Here is a 23220-nt window from a genome sequence, read left to right as displayed (position 1 = left end):
TATTAAGTTTTTAATGACCCAGTGCTTTCACCAAATTGATAGTTTGTTTCTGGGTATAGAATTTCTCACCACTTACGTATAGGTAAAATATGTTTAAGATCACTGTTAATCATATTATTTTATATTGGTGATTAATTTTCTATAATTGTGAAATAGTTATTAAATTACCCTTTTTTCCCAAAATATAGCCTGGTCCAAGAGCATATTCTTAACTAGTTTTCATGTACACCTCTTATTTCTAAAGTGAAGAATGTAGAACCCACATCTAATACAGTTAATTTGAATTTACATTGTAATAATCTCTAAATGCAATCACTAAAATTGGCCCGAGGATTTATATTAAATTTTTTTCTATAGAGTAGTACTTTGCATTTGTGTAAATATTAATTATTTCAGCCCCTTGTGGGTAGACAGAGGGAATTTATGAAAATAAAATCATTTTCTTCATCTGTGACAACATTTTTTCTTTGATTTAGGATGAGAAACCTAAATCAGTTTACTCTGCAAGAAAATATTAGGTGTTACAAAAATAAATATTTGTTTTGAAAAATAATAAAATTAAAAAGTTTTTTTGGTGCACAGTAAAGAAGTGTGTGACCACCATGGTTTTGTTAGTACCACATACATCCAATAGAAGAATACTACTATTACTACTTTGTAATAATGCCTTTGCTTTGAATTATTCTAATTATTCTGTGCATGAATCTAGGCGTATATTCATCTTTTCAGCTTTTGATATCTACTATAGTTTTAACAGAGCTATTAGAGATGCAAAATAAATAACATCAAGAATGGAAACCAAGCATCATTTACTACATAGATATTGCAATGATAAACACTTTAATATTATTTTCTCCTCTGCACAAATATTTCTTTTTAAAATAGCCGTGCGTATATTTCAATGACATTTATATTCAAAGCGATGACAAATTTCCTAACATGTCCTTATTTCAGTAAATATAATTATTTTATCTTGAAAGAGAAAACAACACTATCTTAAAAAGACAGACTATTGTTGAAAACCTCAAACTCTGTAAGATACTTACCTTTTTATACTTTTGCATTAAATTACAGATATATGGTTTAACAGACTTTCTCTGACATTCATACAAAGTTTTCATGAAAAATGTCTCCTTAGAAAATGGATTTTAGATATTCACATGTACTTTCATCAAAAAAGTAAAAGCACAATTCTTTTACAAATAATTAATATTTAAATATGTAATACAACAATAATAATGTGTTATCATTTTGCCAATACCCATTTGAACATAAGTGAGCACTCCAAGCCACATACTCAGGTTCTGTCAGTGGTGTGGTTTCATTTGGCTCATTTACTGGGCTCCCATCTTCGTGATTAGTAACTCTTTCATCCTCTGTTCTCATCTCCACTATTGGTTCTTTTGATCCATCTTTCCTAGAAACATAAAGAGAAACATCTCACCTGTGTAATTTAAAAATGGATGCATTATGGAAAAAAACAGAGTTTAAAATCACCCAATTCTACCTTCCTCCAAATAAATCCAACTTGGTTAATTTAAGAAAACCACTGAGAAATGCTTTACCATTTAAATTTGTTTCACCATATATTATCACTCAGAAAAAAAGGAAGAAATTCCATTTTTTCTAGATAGATTTTCTCATCAAAACTGTATCAATTATTTTGCAAAATTGGTACACATTTTAAAATCCTACTGTATATATTCTATTTTGAAAAAAATGAAAATATTTTGTTAATAAAATGTACAGCATCAAGTAGGTTTCTTTCCTCTAACTAGCCACATTTGAAACTATCAAAATATTTCAAAACATTTTTAAAATAATAAAAAAGAAAACATTTTAAAATTTTAAAATATTTGAAATACTTCAGAAGGGTTGCTTTTATTTCAAAATTTAGAAGACAAAATTTGTATGTGTTGTCTTCTTTTAAATATGTCTATCCATTTGTATGAAAGATCTTAACTATAAAATGATTATGGACTTCTAACTTATTCACGTTTTTCAAGAAAATAGTTTAAATAAAATAATCTTTGTAACATATATGCATATCTTTTCATTTATAACTTCATCCTCCAATGTCGTCTTTATCAAATTTTGAATATATAACAGTGAATGTAATTTTTCACAATTGATGAAAACTAGAAAACTTATTATAATGTTTCATGCCTCACAACTGAACAACAACCAAAAAAAGAGTAACAAGGAAGTTATTTGGTGATGACAAGGAGTAAAGTGAGACAGAAGAATTGGGCATGAGGTACTCCTAATAAAGATTTCAAATAGGTACAGAAAAAAAAAAAAAAAACTAAAGAAGGGTTGGGGACTTCAATTTGTATTCATTCAACAGTCTTCATATGAATGTTTACAGTAACACTATTTATAAATTGCCAAAAATTGTAACCAACTTGTCTTTCAATAAGTGAATGGATAGTAGGTAATGGGTAAGTAAGCTGTGGTCCATCGGTAAAACTGAAAATTACTACTAATAAAAAATAAATGAGCTAACTACCATGAAAATATATAGAACTTTAAATATATTTACTAAGGCAACTGAGGCAGTTTGAAACGACTAAATACTTTCTAATTCCAACTATATGACATTCCGGAAATGACAAATGCATAATGACAATAATAAAGTCTGTAGTTGCCAGGGACTAGAGGAAGGGTGGGACATTTAGAACATTCAGAGCAGGGAAACTGTTATGTTTCTTATCATAATGGTGGATATAGGATATTAAAATTTGCTCTTAGGAAGCATATACACTAGGATTACCAAAAAAAAAAAAAGCAAGCAAACAACAAATCTACAATGGTCCAAAGATTGAACAGACTCTACAAATGCTGAGACTTATATAGAAAAAAACACTAAGGATATAAAACACTTTTGATCAGATCACAGTTCCATATCATTCCTCTTATCTGAGTATGTAGGTACCTCACATACACATGCATCATAATTTGAAGAATGGGTGTTTATAAGAATAGAAGAAATCTAGAAGTGAATAAACTTTTTTAGCTCTGAAAATCAGATGTCTGTAAGAGACAGTGATTCACACAGATTTAGCAACATTATCTGATCAAGGGCCCCAAGTAAGTAAGATCTACAGAGTAAGTAAAGATGGATGAAGAGCCCACCACCACTGGATCTTAATGTTGTTTGGTCTGTTTGTGTGTTAGTTTTCATTATTCTTCAATTGATTCTTTTAAAAAATTCTGCATTATGCCAGTGTTTGTGATGACATACAGGAGTATACTATTTGTGGAAATGTGGCTATTGATGATTCTTAGCAAGAAAATGATTCAAACATTTTCTTATATTAACAATTGGTACAAATATACGATGAACTAAAGCACAATGCAGAGAGAAGACAGAACTAGTGAATTCTGATTTTAATTCTTTTTCTTACTAAGAATTAATATGCAAACAAATATCTTTAAATTAAAAATAATTAAATATTACTGAAAGGACATTCAAGATTAACAAGAGAAAATGGTTAGTTAGTAGCCTTTACAATTCTTATTTTTGTTTTTGGTGACCTTTTTAATTTTAATTTTTATTACATTAATTTTTTTCCAGAGACATTCTACACAGATATCAGCACATATGAATCAAATGCATACAGTTATTTTTACACAAATAATATACTAACTGTATATAATTGAGCCTTTTGAACTAACACTGAGTTTTAGCTATAATCTATAAAAGAATATTTAGAGTTGTCTTTTATTTTTTCATGCTGCATACTATGCTGTTGTATGTATGTACCACCATATATTTAACCAGTTACCAACTGACAAACATTTAGGTTATTTTTAACTTTTTTATTATAATAAATACCATAAGTATTATCAAGTGAATATTTTACTTAACCTTGGTTGGCTATATTTGAAACACACATAATTTACATGTCGAATCTCCTATCCATTGTAAGATATATATATAATATTTTTCTTTTTTTTTGAGACGGAGTCTTGCTCTGTCGTCCAGGCTGGTGTGCAGTGGCGTGATCTCGGCTCACTGCCAAGCTCCGCTCCTGGGTTCACGCCATTCTCCTGCCTCAGCCTCTCAAGTAGCTGGGACTACAGGCGCCCACCACCACGCCCGGCTAATTTTTTTTTTTTTTTTTGGTATTTTTTAGTAGAGACGGGGTTTCACCGCGTTAGCCATGATGGTCTCCATCTCCTGACCTCGTGTAAGTTATATTAAGTAATACCAGAATCATTATTGATATTGTCTGTAGAATTAAAAAGAGTAAATGAGGCAATTGTTTGTCAAAATAGTCACAAAATGTAATGTGGATAAGTTTCACAATGTATAGACTGGTTAACATTATATAAATTCCTGCCATATTTTAGAACTTACTATTAAATAGGAAATAATAACAAGCATAGCATAATGTTTAAGGGAGGTGTTCAGACCTAAATTAGCTGGCTCTCCCACTAACTCATTGCATAAAACTCCCCATCCTTCGGAATTGCTTAGTTAATAAAACAAAGATGGTAATAGTGCCAAACTAATTCCTGTAGGTTACTTGTAATAGCTGATGCATGTGCCACACTCAATCAGTGTTACCTGCATCACTGTCGTGGCATGCATGGAGAATTTACATTTGGAAATATATTACTGAAACTTTCAATTTTAAGAAATTTTTTAAAAATGAAAATGTCAACACTGAAAAAAATTTATGAAATTCATAAACTTGCAGATAAAAATATAAACTTTCATGTAATAAATAGCATCATATAAATAAATATTTGCAAGTAATACAAAATCAAATGATTATAGGGCACATGATATAAGCAACAAGTAAGAGAAAAGGTTAAATAACTCTATGAAAGTGTGTAAAGATATTAAAAGACAATTAAAACAAAGTAACCAAAAAAAGAAACAAGCTCAGACTCAACCTAAATAGACAAATGCAAATCTTAAATAACATCAAAATAAAAACTTTTACTTACCAGATTGTCAAAAAATAAATTGGTGATATTTAATATGTCAGAAGTTGTAGAGAAATATGCATTCTTTGCTTTTATTGCAGCCATGAATTGGAATAGACTTCTGTGGGCAATTTGCCAGAATTTTTCAGTTTTGGCCTTCCATTCTACATCTAGTATCTTACTGTATATTTACAAAATTTATATATATGGATATTCAAAACAGAACAGTCCATTATAAAAATATTGAAAGTTTCTTCTAAAGTGTAACAATAAAGAAGCAGAGAAATACTTTATTATATCTAACACTATGGAATACTACTCATTTATGAAAAGAATGAGGAAGAGATTTATGTGCTGAAATGGAACATTATTGCAGCTGCATTTCTATGTGACATAAATTTGCTAAAATTTATATATGTATATATGTAGTACATAGAAATATCTGTGTGTGTGAGTGTGTGTGTATCCTAGGATATTATTTTTTACAAACTATAGACCACATGGAAAATTATTGGGAAGGAAGGAAAAAAATATTAATGCTTATGTATGAGGCAGCAAATAGGATCAGTATTGATTAAGGTCTTTGATTTCTACTTTTTACATTTCTTTGATTTTTGAGTGTTTAAATAAAATTATATATAATTTAATGTAATCAAATTATATTTTAATTTAATTATGTATAATTTAATTTAATTTAATTATATATAATTTAATTTAATTATATATAATTAAATTAAATTATATATAATTAAATTAAATTATATATAATTAATTTAAATTAAATATATATAATTAAATTAAATTAAATTATATATAATTAAATTAAATTAAATCATATATAATTAAATTAAATTAAATCATATATAATTAAATTAAATTAAATCATATATAATTAAATTAAATTAAATTATATATAATTAAATTAAATTAAATTATATAATTTTATTTAAAGTATATATATTTTTATTTAATTAAATATAAAATTACATATAGATACTGCTTTTGAAACTAAAATATTTGGTTACTTATGGAAACGCTAATATATGTTATGTTTTATCAACAGAGAGGGAGAGATTTTGCATTAAAACTGTGAATGTCTAAATGCATTCTGCCCCTGTCAAATGTCATCCAGTCTATCATAAAAGGTGATATTATTAAATATAAATTATATATGTTGGTACTGCTTTTGTAACTAAAATATTTAGTTACTTAAAGAAACACTAATACTATGTTATGTTTTATTAATATTAACACAGAGAGAGAGAGAGTTTCCACATTAAAGACAGTAAATGTCCATGCACTCTGCCCCTGTCAGATGTCATCTGGTATATCATGAGAGGTGATATTATTGATTAATTAATAAGCACACCCTGCCAGAATGTAAGGATTTCATGCAATTAATAAATCATGAAAACAGCTTCGAGAATGATTAGTTTAGAAAAGGGAAGAGTAAAAGGGTATACTGTGGTTACCTTAAAATACAAATATGGCTGTAAGGTTTTTAAAATATTGATGTATTCTATGTTTTATTTCAGAATGCATAATTAATAGAAAGTTTAACTCTACTATGTAGAATAACTTACTTGCAAATAATTTTAACTTAAATGCAATGGAAGGATATGCAAAAATAATCCAAATAAAACACATCCCAAAACAAATTTAATATTGAAAATTTCATGTTCCTTATACCTGCGTTGGATAGGAGGTATCATCATGTGACTTCATATTCTCTTTACTTTCTCAGATTTTCTGATTAATTGCTTGTGATTCAAGTTTGGGCCCATGTATATAGCTAAAATTGAGGAGCGGGTATTCATGTAATATTTCACTCACAATAACCATTGGATCCTACTGTCATGATACTTTCATAAGGGGGGATGAATGAAAAGGAGATTAGGACTGAACATCCAATAAGACCTCATTCATCTGTGTTTTTATGAATCAACCATGATATTTTCATTTTACATATTATAGAAAGGATGAAAATGATTCAAATATGCCAAATAGACAACAGCAAAATTTCACTCGTTTTTTGTAATCTGTGTGCCATTTGTTTCCCAGGGTTTAGAAATAAAGTGCTGAAGTATATAACTTCTTTTCTGGAATATTTGAAGTTATATAATTATATTTCTTTTAGATTTTATTCTGTATATTCACTTTTCCCCAACATCTATGATTCTTCTTGTTTCTTCCTTATTATTTAGATTAGTGTAATTCAGTATAATAGCCAGTCTTTCAGGTGATAAATGTGTGGTTGTCATGGAGTAATGATAAATATTTCCAGACACACATGTGAATATGTCTACTAGAAGGTAAACCTTGTTTATTAATGTTTTTCTTTTTCTTTTAGTCTTTTGACTTTCCCACGTACAGGTATTCACTGTTACAAACTATTAACCATATACATTGTAATTTTTTAACATCAGGAAAACATTCTGCTATGATGCCCAGCAATTATAAACTACAAAGAATAATTTTAAAATTCCATTTGTATAGACTTAATTTAGACCAGTTTTAATTTCATAGCAAAATTGAGAGGGAGATACAGAGATTTCCCACGTATCCCCTGCTCCCACACACGCATAGCCTCCCCCATTAGCAACATCTCCCACCAGAGGGGTGCATTTGTTACAATCAATGAACCTACCTTGACACATCATTACCCCAAATTTATACTTTACATTAAGGTTCACTCTTGGGGTTGTACATTCTATGTGTTTGAAAATGTTTATCATGACATTTTCTCACAATTATTTTATCATACAGAATAGTTTTACTGCCTCACAAATCTTCTGGGCTCCCTTTACTTATTCCTCCCTTCTTTCCAACATGTGCAACCACTGATCTTTTTAGTGTCTTTTGCTTTTCTCAAAGCAAAACTATATTTGTCATATAGTTGGAATTATAAAGTAGGTAGTCTTTTAAAATTGGCTTATTTCACTTAGTAATAATCATCTAAGTTTCCTCCATGTCTCTTCGTGGCTTGCTATCTCTTTCCTTTTTAGTGCTGAATAACAGCCCATTGCTGGGATCTACCACAGTTTATTCATTTACCTACTGAAGGATGTTTTAATTGCTTCCAAGTTTTGGCAGTTATGAAACAAGCTTCTGAAAACATCAGTGTGCGGTTTTGGTGTAGACATACACTTTCAACTTCTTTGGGTAAATACTAAGGAGCTCAAATAATAAATTTTAAGGTAAGAGTATATTTATTTTCTTGAGAAGCTGCTAAATTGTCTTCCACAGTGATTGTATCACTGCATTTCCATCAGCAATGAATGAGATGTCCTGTTGCTTCACATCTACCATTTGGTGTTGTCAATGTTCTAGATGTTGACCATTTCGATAGGCTTGCAGTGGTACAGTAGCTCATTTTAATTTTCATTTCCCTGATTCATAGGATTTGAAATGTCTTTTCATAAGCTTATTTACTATTTGTATATGTTCTTTAATTAGGTATGTATTAAGTATTTTGGCCCACTTTCTAATTGGGCTCTTCTTTTTATTATATAGAGTTTAAGAATTATTTGTATACATCATATAATAGTCCTTTGTCAGTTATGTGTTTTGCAAATATTTCCTCCCATTCCGTGATTCGTCTTTTCATTCACTTAACAATGTCTTTTGCAGAGCATAAATTTTTAATTTTATACTAGTCCAGCTTATCATGAGGTCAGGAGTTCGAGACCATCCTGGCTAACATGGTGAAACCTCATCTCTACTAAAAATACAAAAAATTAGCCAGGCGTGATGGCACGCGCCTGTAATCCCAGCTACTCAGGAAGTTGAGGCAGGAGAATCACTTGAACCTGGGAGGTGGAGGTTGCAGTGAGCTGAGATCAGGCCACTGCACTCTAGCCTGGGCAACAGAGCGAGACTCCATCTCAAAAAAAAAAAAAAAATCTTTCTTTCATGGATTGTGCTTTTGGTGTTGAATCCAAAAATTCACTACCAAAACCAAGGTCATCTAGATTATCTGCCATGTTTTATTCTAGTAGTTTTATAATTTTTTGATTTATATTTAGGTCAATATTACATTTTGAGTTAATTTTTATGAAGTGCATAATGTCTGTGGCTAGATATATTTTTTCTTATGGATTACAGTTGTTCCAGTACCATTTGTTGAAAATAACATCTTTTTACCATAGTACTGCCTTAACTATGTGTGACATGTCAGTTTACTTGAGTATATTTATGTAGGTCTATTTCTGAGGTTTTTATTGGGTTCCATTAATTTATTTGTTTACTCTTTGGCCAATATCACAAAGTCTTGTTTATCGTAGCTTATAGTAAGTATTGAAGTTGGATAGTGTCAATCCTACACATTTACACTTTCAATATTACTTTGGTTATTGTGGGTCTTTTTGCCTCTCTATGTAATAAACTTTAGAATCAATTTGTCAATATTCATATAATGACTTGTGATTTTGTTGGGATTACACTGACTCTACAGATCAAGTTGGGAAGAGCTGATGTCTTGTCCATATTGAGTCTTTCTATCCATGAACATGAAATAACTCTCCATTTATTTCATTCTTCTTTTATTTTCTATCATAAGTTACATAGTTTTCTTCATATAGATCTTGTACATATTTTATTAGCTATACGGCTGAGTATTTAATTTTGCGGGGTGCTAATTAAAATAATAATTTTGTTTCAACTTCAAATTTCACTTGTTTATTGCTGGTATACTTTTGATTTTTGCATATTAATTGATTTTTGCATATTAATCTTTTATCCTGCAACCTTGCTATAATCATTGACTATACCCAGGTGTTTTTTCAGACTTTTTTCATAGACTATCATGTCATCTGCAAACAAAGAGAGTTTTATTTCTTCCTTCCCAATCAATATGCCTTTTATTTCCTTTCTTTGTCTTAATGGCTTTCGCTAGTTCTTCCAGTACACTGTTGAAAAGAATTAGTGAGAGAGGATATAGTGGGGACAGCTTCTAGTTACTCACTAAGATGTAAAAAATGATGTAAGTTGTAGTTTTTTAGATATCCTTTATTAAGTTAAGGAAGGTCCACCCCTCATTGTTATTGAAAGCTTTTATTATGAATGGGTATCAAATTTTGTGAAATAATTTATGTATATATTAATATGATTTTATGATTATTTTTCTTTATTATCTTGAAGTGTTGGATTTACATTGATTTTTTAACGTTGAACCAGACTTGCATACCTGGGATAAATCCCACTTGGGTGTGATATATAGTTTATTTATAAATTGTTGGATTTGACTTGCTAATATTTTGTAAATGGTGTTTGCATCTATGTTTAGAAAGATATTGGCCTGTGGTTTTCTTGTCATATCTTTGTCTGGTTTTGGCATTTCAGTAATGCTGGCTTCATAGAATGAGAAAGTATTCTCTCTATTTCTATCTTTTGAAATAACATGTAGATAATTGATATAATTTAATGTTTAAATGTTTGGTAGAATTCACCAGTGAACTTGTCTGGGCTTGGTGCTTTCTGTCTGGGGAGACTATAAATTATTAATTCAATTTGTTTGATGGATATAAAGGTCTGTTCAGATTGCTTCTTCCTTTGTGACATTTAGCTGATTGCGCCTTTTGAGGAATTTCTCTATTTCACTTTGGTTATCAAATTATTGGCATAAAGGTGCTCATGGTATTACTTTATTATCCTTTGAATGACAATGCTGTCTATAGTAGTTATTCCTTCTTTATTTCTGATATTCTTGTGTATTTTCTTTCTCTATCTCTGTCTTCTTTTATTTTTCTGAGTTAGCTTAGGTATAGACTTAGCAATTTCGTTAATCTTTTAAAAGAACCAGCTTTCAGTTTTAATTTTCTCTATTGATTTTGTTTTGAAATGCATTTACTTCTTCTACAATGTTTATTATTTGTTTTCTTCTGCTTACTTTGAACTTAATCTGCTCTTCTTTTCTCAGTTTCCTGAGGTAGAGGTCTAGATAATTCACTTTAAATCTTTCTTATATTCTAATATATGTATTCAAGGAAATTTCCCTCTAAACATTGGTTTCACTTCATCCCCCAAATTTTGATTTGTTGTGTTTTCATTTTCATTTAGTTTAAAATATTTAAAAATTTCTTTTGAGATTTTTTCTTGGACCTATGTGTTACTTAAATGTACATTGTTTAATCTTCAAGCATTTGGAGTATTTTCTAGCTTTCTTTTATTTATTTGTAGTATAATTCCATTGTGGTATGAGAGCAGACATAGTATGATTCCTATTTATAAAATGTTTTAAAGTGTGTCATATGACCTAGGGTGTGATCTATCTTGGTGCCTATTCTAGGCAAGCTTGAGAAGTGTATGCATTCTGCTGTTATTGGATTAATTCGTCTACAGATGACATATATAGTTGATTGAACTTGATTGGTTAAGCAACGTCCTTACTGATTTTATTTTTTTCTCTTTTTTCCCAAATTTTCCCATTTTTTCTTACTTTTTTTCTTTTTATCTTTGTATTCTCCCCCCACACCCCCTTTTTTTTTGTTACAGAGTTTCGCTCTTGTTGTATAGGCTGGAGTGCAATTGCCCGATCTCAGCTCACAGCAACCTCTGCCTCCTGGGTTCATGTATTCCATTTTTTTTTTTTTTTCTGCTTGCTGAATGAGTTCCTTATAGGGCAGCGTTAAAGTCTCCAGCTATAAAGGTGGACACCTGTATTTCTCATTAAGTTGTATTAATTTTTGCCTCACATATTTTTATGCTTTGTTGTTAAACATATACATGTTAAAGATCACTATATTTTCCTTGAGAAATGACCCCATTATGATTAGGTAATACCCGTTTAGAAACCTGATAATAGGTAATACCCGTTTAGAAACCTGATAACTTTCCTTGCTCTGAAGTTGACTGCATCTGGCATCAATATTTCCATTCCTGCTTTCATTTGATTCATGTTAGCATAGTATGTCTTTTTCTATCTATTTATCTTTAATTCACGTGTCATTATTCTTATTGTGTGTGTGTGTGTGTGTGTGGACAATATCTGGTTGGGTCTCGTTTTTTTTTATTTACTCTGACAGTCTCTACCTTTCAATTGAGCTATTTAGATAATTATAATTTTCAGGTAATTACTGATACAATGGATTAATATATATACTATATTTGTAACTATTTTATTTGTTGCCCTTATTCTTTATTTCAGTTTTTGTCTTTCACTATTTTTCTGTCTTTGGCGATTTCAATTGAGCATTTTATATGATTTAATTTTCTTTCCTTAGTATATCAGTTATCTTTCTTTAACTTGTTTATTTGTTGTTCAAGAATTTTCAATATACATTTACAATGAACTGAATGAAGTCAATTTTCAAATAACACTGTACTTCTTAATGGGTAGCAAGAGTTCTTTATGATAAGTTATTTCTAAGTCTTTCATCCCTTATATCATTGTTACCATTCATTTATCTTATACGTAGTATATACACATAATATAATACAATACATTGTTTCCATTATTTTCAATAATCTTATGAATAAGAATAAGAAAAGTAAAAGTTTTTAATTTACCTTCACTTAGTCTTTCTCTGATGCATTTCCTTTCTTTAAACATATATTAGGGAAAGGACAGCCTCTTCAATAAACCATGCTGGGCAAACTAGATAGATATCCATATGCAGAAGCATAAAACCAGACCCCTATCTCTCACCATACACAAAAATCAAATCAAAATTGATTAGAGACTTAAGTCTAAGATCTGAACCCGTGAAACTACTAGAAGAAAAAGTTGGGGAAATTCTTCAGGACATTGGTCTGGGCAAAGATTTCTTGAGTAAGACCTCAAGAGCACAGGCAACCAAAACAAAAAATGGACAGATGGGATCGCATCAAGCTTAAAAGGATCTGAACAGCAAGGGAAACCATCAGTAAAGTGAAGAGACAACTTGCAGAATAGGAAAAAATATTTGCAAACTATTCAATTAACAAGGAATTAATAACCAGGATATATTAAGGAACTCAATTCAATAGCAAAACAACAAACAACAACAAATAACAACAACAAAACATAAACAAGTCCAATTTAAAAATGATCAAATGATTTGGAGACCTGAGTTTCTAGTTTAAAGCATTTTTCTGCTCTGAAGAACTTGTTCAGGGCCAGGCACAGTGGCTCACGCCTGAAATCCCAGCACTTTGGGAGGCCGAGGTGGTTGGAGGTCAGGAGTTTCAGACACGCCTGGCCAGCATGGCGAAACCCCGCCTCTACTAAAAATACAAAAATTAGCCAGGCGTGGTGGCACACGCCTGTAATCCCAGTTACTCAGGAGTCTGAGGCAGGAGAATTGCTTGAATCTCAGAAGGGAAAGGTCAAAGTGGGCCGAGATCACACCACTGCACTCCAGACCGGGCAACAGAGTAAAACTCTGTCTCAAAAAAAAAAAAAAAAGAAAAAGAAAAAGAAAAAAAGAACTTGTTCAAGCATTTCTTGCAAGTCAGATCTATTGGCAAAAAATACCCTCTATTTTTGTTTGTCTGAGAAAGGATATTCTTTCTGCTGCACATGTGAAGGATAATTTCACATTTCACAGAGACAGAATTCTATACTAGCGGGGTTTTCTCTCTCAACACTAAAAATACTTCACTCTCTTCTTGTTTTATGGCTTCTGCAGAAAAATCAGATGTAAAACTTATTTTTCCTCCATCAGTAAGGGCGTTTTTACCTCTGGCTCTCTTGCTCCTTTCAGTATTCTATATAGATAAGGAATATATATGTATAAATATATCATTCATTCATATATAATCATATTTATATATAAATATAGTATTCATATATATTCATCTTCATAAATATAATAGTCATTCATATATAATCATATTCATATATATAGCATTCATTCATATATATTCATATTCATATATATAGTATTCATTCATATATATTCATATTTATATATAAATATAGTATTCATATATATTCTTATTCATGTATATGGATTCATATATAAAATATATATACTATTCATTCATATATATGAATATGAATAATATATTTATATCTATATTTATATATTGATATATACACATTAATTTTCTGCAGTTTGAATATGATGTATATATGTGGGCATTTTCTTTTTACATGTTTGAATTTACACATTTGAATTTTCTGGATCTATGGTATGGTGCCTGACATTAATTTGGTGAAATTCTGTCATTATTGCTTCAAATATTTCTTCTGTTTATTTCTCCCTGTCTTTGTTTTTTAATATGACCAATATGCACATATTATAACTGTATTTACTCCATGGTTCTTGGATATTATGTTCTGTTTCTTTTGTTAGTTTATTTGTTTGTTTGAGTCTTTTTTTTTCTTATTTCCTCTTTGCCTTTCCATTTTGGCAGTTTCTGCTGAGATACCTTCAAGCTCAGAGATTCTTTCTTCAGCTGTTTCTATTCTAATAAGCCTATCAAAGACATTCCTCTTTTCTAGAATCTTCATCTCTGTGCTTGCATACATTGCACATCTGTTATTGCTTATTGTCTACCTTACCTGTTAGAGTTCTTAGCATGTTACTCATCGATATTTTAAATTCCTAGTCTGATAATTCCAACATCGCCATCATATCTAAATCTGGTTCTAATGCTGCCTCTCTCTTCAAACTGTGTTTTTTGCTGTTCAGTACTCCTTGTAATTTTTTTCCTGACAGCTGGACATAACATACTGAGTAGGGGTAAATATAATCAATAGGCCTTTAGTAATTTGGAGGTAATGTGTGGGGCAGAAGAAGAGACTATCATCCCATGATTAGGTCTCAGTCCTTTAGTGAGTCCGTGATTCTGGCTGTAAACTTCACAAGCATTTCTCAGATCCTCCCACAGCCTTGGTGGGACAGAATGAATAGAGTGGACTGGAGTTGGGGATTTCCAGGGGGAAACATAGAGCCGGGTGGTGTTGGCTATTTCCATTCTCCGGGTCAGTTAGGCTCTGTTAAAAACCCCATGTTAGGCTCTGGTTAAACAGTTTCTTCTGAGAGTAGACTTTGTTAAGAACAGAATGGTCTGATATATTTTAATGTAGTTACTTCCCCCTTCTATTTCCAGAAACATAAGGAGATACTTCTCCAATAATCATTGTAACAACTAGGTTAAGCTCCTGAAGGTAAAATTCTCAGAAGTATAGGACCTCCTATGACTAAGTCATCCTGGAGTTTTCAACTCACAGATTTGTCCACATCGAGCCTCTACCAATTCATCAATAACATTTTACATTTTTTTCCTATTCCTGAACTGGTTCTCACAGACGTTTCTGCTTACAGGTTTCTGCTCTGATAAGTTGTGATTTTCTGCATCTGCCTCTCTGCCTCTTCAATTTTCAGGACGGTAGTTTGCACTAACACCACATTTTTCTTATGAATCTAAGAATTGTTGATTTCAGTTTGTTTAGCTTTTGGTTTGTTAGGAGAGAGTGGCAACTTTTAATCTCTTTGCATGCTGGGCTGAAAACCGGGAGTATTGTTTTGGTTTGTTTTGTCACTGTTATTCAGAAAATACAATTGATATTTCATACATATTTCTTCAGTTTTTGTATCAAATCTTACTTTCTCTTATAACAAAGCCTTTTACACAGTCCATTCCCTCTGCCTGAAGAACCATCTTCCACACACCCCACCAGACACACACGAGCTAGTTAATTCCTACTCTTCCTTATGCTTTAGTTCTTCACAACTTGCTTACATAAATATGAGTAGGTAAATTATTTATTTTACATAACATTTATAAAAATTATTTATCATTTGATTTTTTTAAATTAAAATGTGGTTCCTGCCAGAATAAAAGTTTCCTGATAGAAAGGAATGAGTCTGCTTTTTCACAAGTTGTATTCACAGAAGTTAGAGTTGTCTCTTGTTGTATAGATGTTTAATAAATATTTTTAATATTAATGCTTAGTAAATTATGCTTGAGTAAATAACAGTAAAAAGATAATTTGATTAAAAAGTATTATTAGTCATTTTGATAAGAAAAACCCTTGAGAATGTAAGATATATAGTAATTTAAATTGATAAGAACCAAATTAAAATAGAACTTTACACTAATACTATCCTCTATGACACTGATCTTAATTTTTTTTTCTCTGCCTTGAGATGCTCTTAAAACAAAAATGCTTTAGGTGTAATTAATGCAGTTTTAATAAATCATCATAGTCATAAGTTTTGAAAACATGAAAGAGCTAGTCTCAGAATGCTTGGGATCATGTGTAAAAGATAGTATAAATCCGAACAGTCAAATCAGTTAACCCTATTCCTCATTAAGATTTTATATCTTTTTCAAACTTGAACACTACATTTTTGAAAAGAGCTGAAATCTGTTTTTCCAAAGCAGAAGAAATTTATATAAAAATTGTGTGATCAATAATAAGCATGGAATTAACCACATATTTTCATTTTCCCAATTCCTTAAGGTTAATTAAACTCAGCAGGTTTTAAAAACAGAGGTGTGGTGGACAAATTAACAAATAACAGGGTTATATAAAAATAAACAGCACAACTGCATACACCTGGTTGTCTGCACAACCAAACAACATCATGAAGGTACATTTTGATTTCTCTCTTTCCCTAATCCAAATATAAAATCAATCAGGTGATTGACACTACCCCAACTATATCTGAAATATACTCACTCTTATATAAGTGTAATACCACTGCCTTGGGCCAAAAAACCCCAACTTTTTTCATCTGGATTACTTCAAGCTCCTCTTAACTGGGCTCCCTGATTTTAAATCATTCCCCTAAACCTATTATGTCCAATAACCCATTCTTCACACAATAGCAAAAGTCATCTTCTTAAAACTCTTCTAGTAGTCTTCTATTTCAAACAAAATTCAGACCCTTTTCATTGACCCAAGAAGATGGAATAATACTTTGGCCCCTAGATAATTTCCCAATCTGATATTTATACCAGTTTCTCTTTCTCTGACTCTCACCAATAAGCGTCATTTGCCTTTGAACATAGCAAGCTCATCCCCATGTTAGAATCTTTACATTAATTTACACCTGCCTAGAATGTTCTGTCCCTTGATTGTTGTATTACCAGCTCCTTATTACCCACCCTTAAGCTTAATGTCACCTCCCTGAGAGGTATTTATGACACAGTATCAAATAACAACTTAACATCCTGCCTTTCATTCATTTAGTGCTTATCACTACTGGACATTTCATTTTTAGTTAACGTTTATTAACTGCCATCTTCCACAATAACTTGAACTCCATGTGAACAAAATTATTGTTTGCTTTGCTTACTAATTTGTTCCTAAGTTCTATAAAAGTGCTTATAACCTGGCATTTATTCCATAAATATTTGCTCAGTGGATGGGCAAAAGAGAAGACTTATAAAATTTAATATATATCTCTATCTATACCTTTATATATAATAGCATAATATATAGTATATGTAATGATGTTATTATATATAATATTTATTCTATGTGTTTTTATCTTGTGCCTCTATTTAAATAAAACAACTAAAACTAAGCTTTGTGATCTGTTTGTTTAGTTAGGAAGACAATGTAAAAGTACAGAAAATTATTAGGAGGCATAAAAGGCAATGACGAAGAAAGCAAAAAATATTGGAAATGAATTGATTCCACTGTATTTACCATGTCTCTTATTTGTATCTCATTTAGTGTGCAGTAGAGGCTAATTTATGTTTGTTCTTTAGTTTATTCCATGTCCAATAAATATGCAGTTTGCATTTTGTTTGAGAACAGTTGAATCTAATTTTTGAACTGAAATATGTTATCTAATTATCATCTCATGAAGTAAAAATATCCCTTACAGAACATACATAACAAATGGTCATAGACAAACAATCTAGTAAAGTTGAAAAAGGCTTGGTGATGTAAAAAAAATGTAGCTAGGAAGAATCGATTCTCCTGTATTTCTAACCCTGATGCATAAATTATTATTAAATGCCAGGCATTATAAGGGTAATTTTACATATATTGCATGCATTTCTTTACTTATGTCACACAACATGTGGAGCAGAACTGTAAATTCTCATTTTATGAAGAAAGAAACAAATGTTCACAGAAGTCAGAATGACTTCTCCAAGTGTACTGGGATTCAAGCTCATTTATTTTTCCACTGGTTCTTGGAATCTTTTCACAGCTACTTAAAAATAGGCTGAAAATGGTACTCTCTTACAAGGTGATAAAGTTTTATTTTACTTTATTTTTATTTTTCTTGAGATGGAGCCTTGCTCTGTAGCCCAGGCTGGAGTCTATTGGTGCCATCTTCGTTCCCCAGGTTCAAGCGATTCTCCTGTCTCAGCCTCCCGAGTAGCTGGGATTACAGGCATGCACCACCACGCCAAGCTAATTTTTGTATTTTTAGTAAAGACAGGGTTTAGCTATGTTGGCCAGGCTGGTCTTGAACTCTTGACCTCAGGTGATCCACTCACCTCGGCCTCCCAAAGTGCTGGGATTACGGGGGTGAGCCACCGCCCCTGGCTGTGTTAAAGTTTTAAGTCAGTACTTACTGAGGGAAAACTGATGAGACTTTTGAGTTAGGTTTTGAAAACAATATATCACAAGAAGAACACATAGCTTTCTATCCCTCTAGTTCCTTGCATACTATCTACAGAATAGAAGGAAGAAACTAGTGTCTTCTTATATGTGACAGAAAAAGACCATTTGGTAGAATGTTAATGTTAATATGAGCCAATGCCAATAATCAATGAGCTTGTAATTTATTCAGAATGGCTTATTTAAAACAATGCTAAGAAATGAATATAAAAATATGTAATAAAGGATATAAGAATATGACAAATGGAATGAAACAGGAGTACACAGATAAAACAGGATTTTAGCCAAGTTGATGAAATAGAAAATCTTTATTGAGCTAGAAGCATTTGAAGTGGAATTGAAGTGGAACTGGAAATATACTTATTCCATTGACAGAGATGAGGACCACAGAAACAGAAAATAATTTGGGAGTAATCACTCTAAGTTAGATTTCAGACATTCTCAATTACTGCCATTTTGTTTAGAAATAGACACACACAGGCATCCTGATGCCCAAGAGAATGATAAGGACCAGACGCAGACATTTATTTGGTATTCACACATGTAGAGGTGATATTTGGAGTTATGGGATAAATTATACATAAAGAAAGAGAACTGAGGAGGAAACACAGAGAAAAAAGATGATACAGAGTCTTGGAAGGGGATGGTAGAATGTCGGTGAGGGAACATGTAAACAATATCACATTCTCCAAGATGGTTTGAGAATTTGAAAACCAAAGTAAGACATGAGATTTGATCAACATAAAATCTCTCGACTGAAAAGAGCAGCTTTAGTGAAGCATAAGCCAAAAATAGAAGAGATTAAGCAGTGAGGGAGGAAGTTGAAAGTGGAAAAAAAATACAGATGGTTGACTTCTAGATTTTCTCAATAGAAAGAGCCAGATTCGAAAAAAGAGAAGAGAAAAAAACACTGGTATACAAAATAAAATGTGATATTACAGGAACATTTAACAGTTAAGTTTCTTGAATTTTAGGCACATAGAAATTCAGAAGAATTTCAATATTTAAAAAGTGGATTAAAAGCCTTTGTTTTTCAATTTTGAAAAATAAATCTCAGTTGGCATATGGCGTTTCATTTTAAGAAAAGTAATGATTACTTCTGCCTTAGAATTGAAAAAAAAACTTTTATAATTAGATTATTAAAATATATTACTTCCCAAACTAATAATTATTTGCCAAACTAATTTTTATCTCAATGGTCTCTCCATTTGTTAGCACTGATGTTATGAAATGCCTGTGCAAGGATTTTTATTCTTATTTCTCAGAGACTGTAGACCTTACTCTCCTTTTGTGAGTAATACAAGCTTTTCTGTAAGAAGCCAGACACGAAAGAGTACAAACTGTAGATGTGGTTCTTTGGGGAGTAATTGCAAGGGTAGGATGCCTTTTGTTCCTTTTGTTTTCTAAAACTTGTGTTTTTGTCATTTCTACTTCCATTCGATACATGGACATACGGTATGCTTCTGTGTGGCTCCCTCAAAATCCTGAGATCTTAACAACTGTAGAGTTATTTACTGAACAATTCATAATTGGAGTGACATAATTTTAGATTTGTAAAGAAAGTTTAAAATTACATGGCCCATGGTCTATTTTTATAGGCAAGGAATACAAAAACTCTAAAATTGCCGTCTTCTTCAGTTATAAATGATAAAATTTAATAAGAAGATTTCAAACACCTAAACCCAACAGTTAATTCTAGCTAAGTGTGGTCATTATACAGTACTTTACACGGGTTTAAGCTGTCATTGTTTATAGTGTCTTATCAGTATTAGTTCATGGTCATACCCAGGGTGAATGTCCATAATATATTGGATTTTAATTATGGTATTACAGGTAGTAAATTAAATTTTCCACTGAATTAATTCTATCGAAATTACTTTATTCAATGAAATGAGAATTGGGAAAAGTCAGCATTTTTTCAAACTTAAAAAGTACATTAGAGATAATATCTTGTTAGGAAAGCAATTTGCTTTGGTTCTAACAAAAAATAAAAATAATTATGTTTAAAATTTAGAGACTATCTTGATGATTTCACTATGTTTCATGAGTACATGTATTTTAAGACAAGTGGTTATAGGTAGAAACATTTTTTAAAAAATTTATTGTTTAGTTATAATGCATTCTAATGAATAACTCTTTACTGAAGTAAGGGAATTGGTCCTAAGGTTACTGCACTCATTTTCTCACAAGTCAAGTGGTGTCATGACCCTCATGAATAGCCCTCTTTGGACTCGTGCAGAACACCATCTGCTTAAACATATTCAGCAACCCAAAAGGACTGCATGTGAAAGAATAAGGTACTTTAAAAATTTCACTTCATAAGTAAATCTAGATTATTTACAAAGCTCACACAAGTTATTATTGGCTTGTTGCTTAAAATAGTTTATCTTGCAAAGATATTGATTGTCTTTCAATGAATCTGCAAAATTAATGCACTCCCAATACAAATTGTAACATTTTTAAAATTTGTAATTGCAAATTTTTTTATGGATAAATAATTTAAATTTTTTAAATGGATATGTGAGTCAAGACTAGCAAAACGATCTTGAAGAACAACAAACTTGGAGAACTTATTCTATCAGTTAGAAAACAACCATGGCAAAGATTTAGTGGTTAATAAAGTCTGGCATTGGTGAAAGGATAGAGAAAGTGAAAAGTGGAATAGAATAAGAAGAACAGAAACAGGCCTATTTGAATTCTGTCATCTGAGATGTCACAACCATGGCACTGCTATTCATGAGAAAAGAATGACATTTTCAATTACTAAAATTACTAGTGCTATTTTCTAAACATAATTTAAAAAATACTAACTGAAAAGTGTGTGGAGTCCTAACTCAGGTATATTGTATGTCTAAAGGTAAAATGCGAAATGATAAAGATTTAGTGGAAAATATAGAGGGCCTTACTGACCTCAGGATAGGCAAATATTTAAAAAATAAGACAAGAGACAAATTAAAATATTAAACTACATGAAGATCAGGCACTTCTGTTCACCAGAGAAAACATTTTTTTTTTTTTTTTTTTTTTTTTGTTTTTTGAGACAAAGTTTTGCTCTTGTTGCCCAGCCAGGAGTACAATGGCTCACTGCAACTTCCACTTCCGAGGTTCAAGTGATTCTCCTGCCTCAGCCTCCCGAGTAGCTGGGATTACAGGCACCCACCACCATGCCTAGCTAATGTTTGTATTTTTAGTAAAGATGGGGTTTCGCCATGTTGTCCAGGCTGGTTTCGAACTCCTGACCTCAGGTGATCCACCCGCCTCAGCCTCCCCAGAGACAACATTTTGCCAGTTAAAAAAATAAGAAAAGAGGTTATATGTAAAATTATATTTCATATGTAAATATTTTATTATAAATATAAATTTAATTATACCATATATAGGTTTATGTATACTTATAATAAATTGTATATACATAATTTATATGTATAGCCCAGGTTATATATGTAGAGCATGTTGTATAAAAGAACACACCTGCATAACAGTAAGGAAAAGAAAGGCAACCTAATAGAAAATGACTAAAATGCTTGAATAAGGACTGTAAAAATAGATGAATAAGGTCATTATAAAATGATAAAGGGGTTGGTTAATCAAGGGAATATAACAATTATAAATATGTATGCACCCAACATTGGAAAACCTTGATATATAATGCAAATAGTATTTGACCTAGAGAGAAAGATCCTAATAAAATCGTAGCTGTGAACCTCAAAACCCATCTTTCAGCATTGGACAAGACATCCAGGCAGAAAATCAACAGAGAAACATAAGTCCTAAAATATGCTATAGACCAAATGGACCTAATAAACATTTAAAGAACATTTCATCCACGTTTTTAAGAATACACTTTCTTCTCCTCAGCACATGAAACATTCTGAAGAATAGATCGTATGTTAGGCCACAAAACAATTCTTGAAAAATTCCAAAAAATTGAAATCATATCAAGCATATTTTCTGACAACGGAAAACAATAAACTAAAAGTCAATAAAAAGAGGAACTTTGGAAACAATAGAAACACATGGAAATTAAAAAAAATATGCTCCTGAATGACCATTAAGTCAATGAAATTAAAAAGGAAAATTAAAAATTTATTGAAACAAATGATAATGGAAACACAACATACCAAAACCTATTGGATACTGCAAAAGTAGTACTGAGTGGCATATTACAGCAATAAACACCTACACCAAAATAGCAGAAAAACTTTAACTAAATAACCTTACAATGCATCTTAAAGAACTGGAAGAGCCAAAGCTAACCCAACCCAAAATTAGTAGAAGAAAATAAATAATAAAGCTAGTATCATACTGAACCAGGAAAAATGGACAGCCTTTCCTCTAAGATCTGGAACAAGACAAGGATGTCTACTTTCACCACTGGTATTAACGTAGTACTGGATGTCCTAGCCAGGGCAATTAAGAAAGATAAAGAAATAAAATGTATCCAAAGTGGAAAGGAAGGAGTCAAATAATCCTTCTTATGATGACAGATCTTATATTTAGAAAATGCTAAAAACTCCACCAAAAAAACTATTAGAACTAACAAATATATTCAGTAATGTTTCAGGATAAAAAATCAACGTACAATAATCAGTAACATTTCCACATGTCAACAGGAAACAATTTGAAAAAGAAACCAATAAAGTAATCCCATTTATAAAAGCTCAAATAAATTGAAATACCTAGGAATTAACTTAAGTGAATAAGTAAAACATCTCTACAATGAAAACGATAAAACATTGATGAAAACTTCAAGATGACACAAAAATTAA

At 31.1% G+C, this 23220-nt stretch overlaps 1 protein-coding gene across 8 annotated transcripts in view; it reads right to left on the bottom strand.

The window, feature by feature from the left end:
• NCAM2 (neural cell adhesion molecule 2) overlaps positions 1–23220 on the bottom strand; it is a 544921-nt gene that overhangs the window by 7376 nt on the left and 514325 nt on the right. For 4 of the 8 annotated variants that reach the window (NM_001352592.2, NM_004540.5, NM_001352595.2 and 1 more), the window contains one exon: positions 1298–1417. In NM_001352592.2, the coding sequence (NP_001339521.1) occupies positions 1298–1417 (120 nt within the window). Of the gene's footprint in view, positions 1–1261; positions 1418–23220 lie in introns of all 8 variants that reach the window. The other 4 variants (NM_001352591.2, XM_011529575.4, XM_017028356.3 and 1 more) reach the window with 1 other exon arrangement.

This window comes from Homo sapiens, chromosome 21 (assembly GCF_000001405.40).
Source record: "Homo sapiens chromosome 21, GRCh38.p14 Primary Assembly".
In the NCBI taxonomy this organism is placed as follows: Eukaryota; Metazoa; Chordata; class Mammalia; order Primates; family Hominidae; genus Homo; species Homo sapiens.
This window is presented reverse-complemented; position numbering and strand designations above follow the sequence as displayed.